Source organism: Homo sapiens, chromosome 6 (assembly GCF_000001405.40).
Source record: "Homo sapiens chromosome 6, GRCh38.p14 Primary Assembly".
NCBI classification, from domain to species: Eukaryota; Metazoa; Chordata; class Mammalia; order Primates; family Hominidae; genus Homo; species Homo sapiens.
The window spans coordinates 70994816-71001579 of NC_000006.12; the positions used below are offsets into that span (position 1 = coordinate 70994816).

Here is a 6764-nt window from a genome sequence, read left to right on the forward strand (position 1 = left end):
AGAGGCTGGCCCTACAGAGTCGTGGATGAAGAACTGTATTCTTTATGTTGCTCAAGCTGGCCTCAAATTCCTGGGCTCAAAGGATCCTCCTCCCTCAGCCTCCTGAGTAGCTGGGACAACAAGCATGTGCCACCCACTGCACCCCACTCTATTTTATTTTTGAGAAGGGTTGCTAAGAAAGAATTTGAATGAGAAAGAAGAAACTCACATAGCTCTAGGCTGTCCACTGATGTTATAAAGTACTTTCATTCCCAGAGACACACCTTCTTGTGTTCTCTCTGAATGCTCCCTTTTTTATATTAAACCATTGCCCTACACAGTCAAGCTGCTAATTTCTACCCTTAAACACTCGAAATTGCCAGTTAATCAAGTTAAATCCTTGGTCACAGAGAAGCTACTTTATCTTAGTGTTTGACTGAAAATTTATCTGCATTTCAATAATACTGCATGTCACATTGAATAAAAATAGCACTTTTAAAAACGCCTTCTTCAAAGTAGTAGGTTGTCTAGCAGTCTAGTTTTTAGCAGTGAAACTTAGAATGACTTGCTTGGCAGTGGCTTCTGGAGAGCAGTTTCTTCGTGGGTTAAATGAAGATAAGAATATCTTCCTGACCTATCTCAAAAGTTTAATATGGGGCTCATAAGAGATAATAAGTGAGTTAAATATAAAATGCTACAAAATTTGCAAATGGTGAGTTGGAAATAGCTTTAGATGTCCAAACTCTCCATTTTAAACATAGAAAGTGACACCCAGAAAAGTGTCAAGAAAAACAGGGACAAGTGCCAGGAATTTCCTGAACTGGCTGCATTGATGAATGCCAACACAACTTTCACATTTTCACATTTCCAGCTGGAAGTAGCTGAGAGACATGAAGAACCAATAATTATGTGAGTCTTCCTAGTTCATACACAGATATTCTACAAAGTCATTGTTGTTAAATTCACTTACAAAAAATAGAATAGTCTTTAATTAAAAAAAATAAAGGCCATAATAAAATAATATTGCCATAGTTTTCTTACCTTTAGTGTCTTCATGCAATACCTGTAGTGTTCTTTGCTCCATTTTTTGAGCCCATCCTTGAAATTTCTTTTTATATTGTCATTGTACTTCTTCAACCATTGTATTGCTTTAACCAGAGAAGTATGGCCTGGTGGAATGCAGGCATTGTTACTATCTCTTGACATATAACATTTTCTAATACAGATTTCATAGATTTGGAATAGTTGAACTTTTCTGCTAAGTTACATCTTTACATTGACTCTACTCCTTAGTTTTGGTGCTCATTCCTGTGAGTACTTCGGTTATGTAACATTTTTCTCTGACATGGAAATCAGCAAACAGGCATGCTATGGCCAAAGGTAAAGCATCACAATAATGAAGAAGCTTACATAAAGGGAACATTGATGAATGCAGCAGCATGTGTTTGTGATTAAATCAAAGGCACATTCAAGGCTGCCTAGCAATCCAACCTGATTAACTGTTTTCCAAATCCTGATATAGTACAAAGTAATTGACAATGACAGGGATGGGGGGGAAATCAGATGCAAAATTGAGTATATCACTGTCAGATGGTTAACAAAACAAAGTGCCCAATGTCTTCTAAAGTTTCAATATTTCTAGAACTTATTTCTGAAACCAAACTCATTTTCACAGACAATAGAACAGTTTAGTGTCTAGACAATGGGAAAACATTAAGTTGTTAACAAGAGCAGATAAAACATCATCTTTTTTTTGCCATCTGTAAAGACACAAGGCCTGTTTTCTGTTATTTTGTACACTACACCTTCTAAGTCAGATCCCAAACTCACAGATTATTCTGGGATTGTATGAAATCCCTACCTTTTATTTATTTAAATAAAATGATATTGAAGTTAGTGAATATAATAGCTAATAAAAGCTAGTATTTGTTAGGTGCCATGAATATAAGACATTCTTTTTATTTTGTTATAATTTCTAATTCTCGTAACACATGCATTGAGTAGGAATTATCATCTCCATTTTATGAGAAAACCAAAGTCCACTGTTGTTGAGTACTTTGCCTAAAGTCACATAAGTAGTGAGGATTCTGGCTCAGACTACTCAGACCCTAAATCCCATGCTATTTCCATTCTTCTATGACTCCTTTTTATTCTTTCTAACCTCCATAGATTTGTGAGGATATAGCACAGCATGCAACATTTGAAAACTTTTTTTCCAGTATTATACCAATACAGTCATATAATTAACACAGCAGTATAAAGCCAGTGAATTTCATTATTTACAGCAGAGGCGGTAAAGAGAAGGTGGGATTTAGATTCAAATGACCTGGCCCTGCCATCTATCAGCCATGAAGCATTAGCCAAATCAGTTAATTCCACTGAACTTCACTTTTGATAATCTTTAAAAATAATGTGTTATCAAAGGGTTTTGTGGTCATTAAATGAAGTACTATTAACCAAGGAGTTTTTGCAAATGTGGGTTATTTTTATTAAGTAGAAGACTATTTAGTGAATCTGTTTGCCAGAGTGAATTATCAATAAGATTGATTTTGTCATTTTGGAGGTTCAGAGACGTTTCTGGCTAAGACCAAATGAGATGGCTAAATACTCACGGTCAGAATGTACCCTTCTGTTTTCACTCTCAAGACAGAGACACACTATTGTTCCTTTTAGCATCTTTAGCAATTTTATCAGTGTCTCCTGTAGAGTCCAGTAATCATTCACTGAGGGAAAGGGAATCAAACAACGAAGTTATGCTTGTTGCTGCCCAAATCAACAGGAAGAGCCTGGTTACATGCTGAGACATCACGCAAACCACTGCTGTGAAGAGGAGTGGATTGGGGCTGCACAGGTTGCAGAAGAGAGGCCCTGGAGAGACACTTAGAATCAAGGCTTGGAGATTGCTGGCAAGATGGCCAAATAGGAACAGCTCTGGTCTGCAGCTCCCAGCAAGATTGATGCAGAAGGTGGGTGATTTCTGCATTTCCAACTGAGGTACCCAGTTCATCTCACTGGGACTGGTTGGACAGTGGGTGCAGCCCATGGAGGGTGAGCCGAAGCAGGGTGGGGCATCGCCTCACCCAGGAAGTACAAAGGGTCAGGGAATTTTCTTCCCTACCTAAGGGAAGCTGTGAGGGACTGAGCCTGAGGAACTCTGGCACAGATACTATGCTTGTCCCGTGGTCTTCGCAACCTGCAAACCAGGAGATTCCCTGCGGTGCCTACCCCACCAGGTCCCTCAGTTTCAAGCACAAAACTGAGTGGCCATTTGGGCAGACACCAAACTAGCTGCAGGAGTTCTTTTTTTCCATACCCCAGTGGCACCTGGATCGCCAGCAAGACAGAACTGTTCACTCCCCTGGAAAGGGGTGCTGAAGCCAGAGAGCCAAGTGGTCTGGCTCAGCAGGTCCCACCCCCATGGAGCCCAGCAAATTAAGATCCACTGGCTTGAAATTCTTGCTGCCAGCACAGCAGCGGTCTGAGATTGATCTTCACAGCAGCGGTCTGAGATTGACCTGGGATGCTCGAGCTTGGTGGGGGAAGGGGTGTCCATCACTGTTGAGGCTTGAGTAGGCAGTTTTAGGCTCACAGTGTAAACAAAGCAGCCAGGAAATTTGAACTGGGCTGAGCCCCCTGCAGCTCAGCAAGGCTGATGTGGTCAGACTGCAGGATTTCTCTTCTCTGGGCAGGGCATCTCCGAAAAAAAGGCAGCAGCCCCAGTCAGGGACTTACAGATAAAACCCCCATCTCCCTGGGGCAGAGTGCCGGGGGAAAGGGGTGGCTGTGGGTGCAGCTTCAGCAGACTTAAACGTTCCTGCCTGACAGCTCTGAAGAGAGCAGCGGACCTCCCAGCACAGCATTCGAGCTCCGCTAAGGGTCGGACTGCTTCCTCAAGTGGGTCCCTGACCCCCGTGTATCCTGACTGGGAGACACCTCCCAGTAGGGGCCAACAGACAGCTCATACAGCTCTGGCTGGCATCTGGCAGGTGCCCCTCTAGGACAAAGCTTCCAGACGAAAGATTAGGCAGCAATCTTTGCTGTTCTACAGCCTCCGCTGGTGATACCCAGGCAGACAGGGTCTGGAGTGGACCTCCAGCAAACTCCAGCAGACTGGCAGCAGAGGGGACTGACTGTCAGAAGGAAAACTAACAAACAGAAAGGAATAGCACGGCCACTCAAAGACCCCATCCAAAGGTCACCAACAACAAAGAGCAAAGGTAGATAAATCCACAAAGATGGGGAGAAACCAGAGCAAAAAGGCTGAAAATTCCAAAAACCAGAATACCTCTTCTCCTCCAAAGGATCACAACTCCTTGCCAGCAAGGGAACAAAACTGGATGGAGAATGAGTTTGACGAATTAACAGAAGTAGGCTTCAGAAGGTGAGTAATAACAAACTCCTCCGAGCTAAAGGAGCATGTTCTAACCCAATGCAAGGAAGCAAAGAACCTTGAAAAAAGGTTAGATGAATTGCTAACTAGAATAACCAGTGTAGAGAAGAACATTAATGACTTGATGGAGCTGAAAAACGTAGCACGAGAACTTCGTGAAGCATACACAATTTCAATAGCTGAATCAATCAAGTGGAAGGAAGTATATCAGTGATTGAAGATCAACTTAATGAAATAAAGCAAGAAGACAAGATTAGAGAAAAAAGAATAAAAAGGAATGAACAAAGCCTCCAAGAATTATGGGACTATGTGAAAGACCAAATCTATGTTTGATTGGTGTACCTGAAAGTGATGAGAATGGAACCAAGTTGGAAAACACTCTTCAGGATATTATCCAGGAGAACTTACCCAACCTAGCAAGACAGGCCAACATTCAAATTCAGGAAATACAGAAAACACCACAAAGATACTCCTTGAGAAGAGCACCCCAAGACACATAATTGTCAGATTCACCAAGGTTGAAATGAAGGAAAAAATATTAAGGGCAGCTAGAGAGAAGGGTTGGGTTACCCACAAAGGGAAGCCTGTCAGACTAACAGCAGATCTCTCTGCAGAAACCTTACAAGCCAGAAGAGAGTGGGGGCCAATATTCAACATTCTTAAAGAAAAGAATTTTCAACCCAGAATTTCATATCCAGCCAAACTAAGCTTCATAAGTGAAGGAGAAATAAAATCCTTTACAGACAAGCAAATGCTGAGAGATTTTGTCACCACCAGGCCTGCCTTACAAGAGCTCCTGAAGGAAGCACTAAACATGGAAAGGAACAACTGGTACCAGCCACTGCAAAAACATAACAAATTGTAAAGAATATCGACACTATGAAGAAACTGCATCAACTAATGGGCAAAACAACCAGCTAGCTTCATAATGACAGGATTAAATTCACATATAATAATATTAACCTTAAATGTAAATGGGCTAAATGCCCCAATTAAAAAACACAGACTGACAAATTGGATAAAGAGTCAAGACTCATCAATGTGCTGTATTCAGGAGACCCATCTCATGTGCAAAGACACATATAGGCTCAAAATAAAGGGATGGAGGAAAATTTACCAAGCAAATGGAAAGCAAAAAAAAAAAAGCAGGAGTTGTAATCCTAATCTCTGATAAAACAGACTTGAAACCAACAAAGATCAAAAGGGACAAACAAGGGTACAATATAATGGTAAAGGGATCAATGCAGCAAGAAGAGCTAACTATCCTAAATATATATGCACCCAATACAGGAGCACCCAGATTCATAAAGCAAGTTCTCAGAGACCTACAAAGAGACTTAGACTCCCACACAATAATAGTGGGAGACTTTAACACCCCACAGTCAATATTAGGCAGATCAATGAGACAGAAAATTAACAAGGATATTCAGGACTTGAACTAAGCTCTGGACCAAGCAGACCTAATAGACATCTACAGAACTCTTCACCCCAAGTCAACAGAATATACATTCTTCTCAGCACCTCATCGCACTTATTCTAAAATTGACCACATAATTGGAAATAAAAAACTCCTTAGCAAATGCAAAAGAATGGAAATTATAACAAACAGTCCCTCAGACCACAGTGCAATCAAATTAGAACTCAGGATTAAGAAACTCACTCAAAACTGCACAACTGCATGGAAACTGAACAACCTGCTCCTGAATGACTACTGGGTAAATAACAAAATGAAGGTGAAATACAGATTCTTTGAAACCAATGAGAACAAAGACACAACATAACAGAATCTCTGGGATACATTTAAAGCAGTGTGTAGAGGGAAATTTATAGCACTAAATGCCCATAAGGGAAAGCAGGAAAGATTTAAAATTGACACCCTAACATCACAATTAAAAGAACTACGGAAGCAACAGCATACAAATTTAAAATCTAACAGAAGAGAAGAAATAACTAAGATCAGAGCAGAACTGAAAGAGATAGAGACACAAAAAACCCTTCAAGAAATCAGTGAATTCAGAAGCTGTTTTTTTGAAAGGATCAACAAAGTAGAGAGACAACTAGCCAGACTAATAAGGAAGAAAAGAGAGAAGAATCAAATTGGTGCAATAAAAAATGATATAGGGGGATGTCACCACTGATCCCACAAAAATACAAAGTACCATCAGAGAATACTATAAACACCTCTACACAAATAAACTAGAAAATCTAGAAGAAATGAATAAATTCCTGGACACATACACCCTCCCAAGTCTAAACCAGGAAGAAGTCAAATCCCTGCATAAATCAATAACAAGTTCTGAAATTGAGGCAATAATTAATAGCCTACCACCCAAAAAAAGCCCAGGACTAGACGGATTCACAATCAAATTCTACCAAAGGTACAAAGAAGAGCTGG

General features: G+C 40.5%; 1 annotated feature.

The window, feature by feature from the left end:
• Nucleotides 3647-4344: an enhancer, noted in NCBI's record as "H3K27ac-H3K4me1 hESC enhancer chr6:71708165-71708862 (GRCh37/hg19 assembly coordinates)". NCBI's record gives its function as "activates a minimal SCP1, AML or CMV promoter by ChIP-STARR-seq in naive H9 embryonic stem cells {active_cell/tissue: H9 hESC(naive)}" and the evidence as "EXISTENCE:reporter gene assay evidence [ECO:0000049][PMID:30033119]".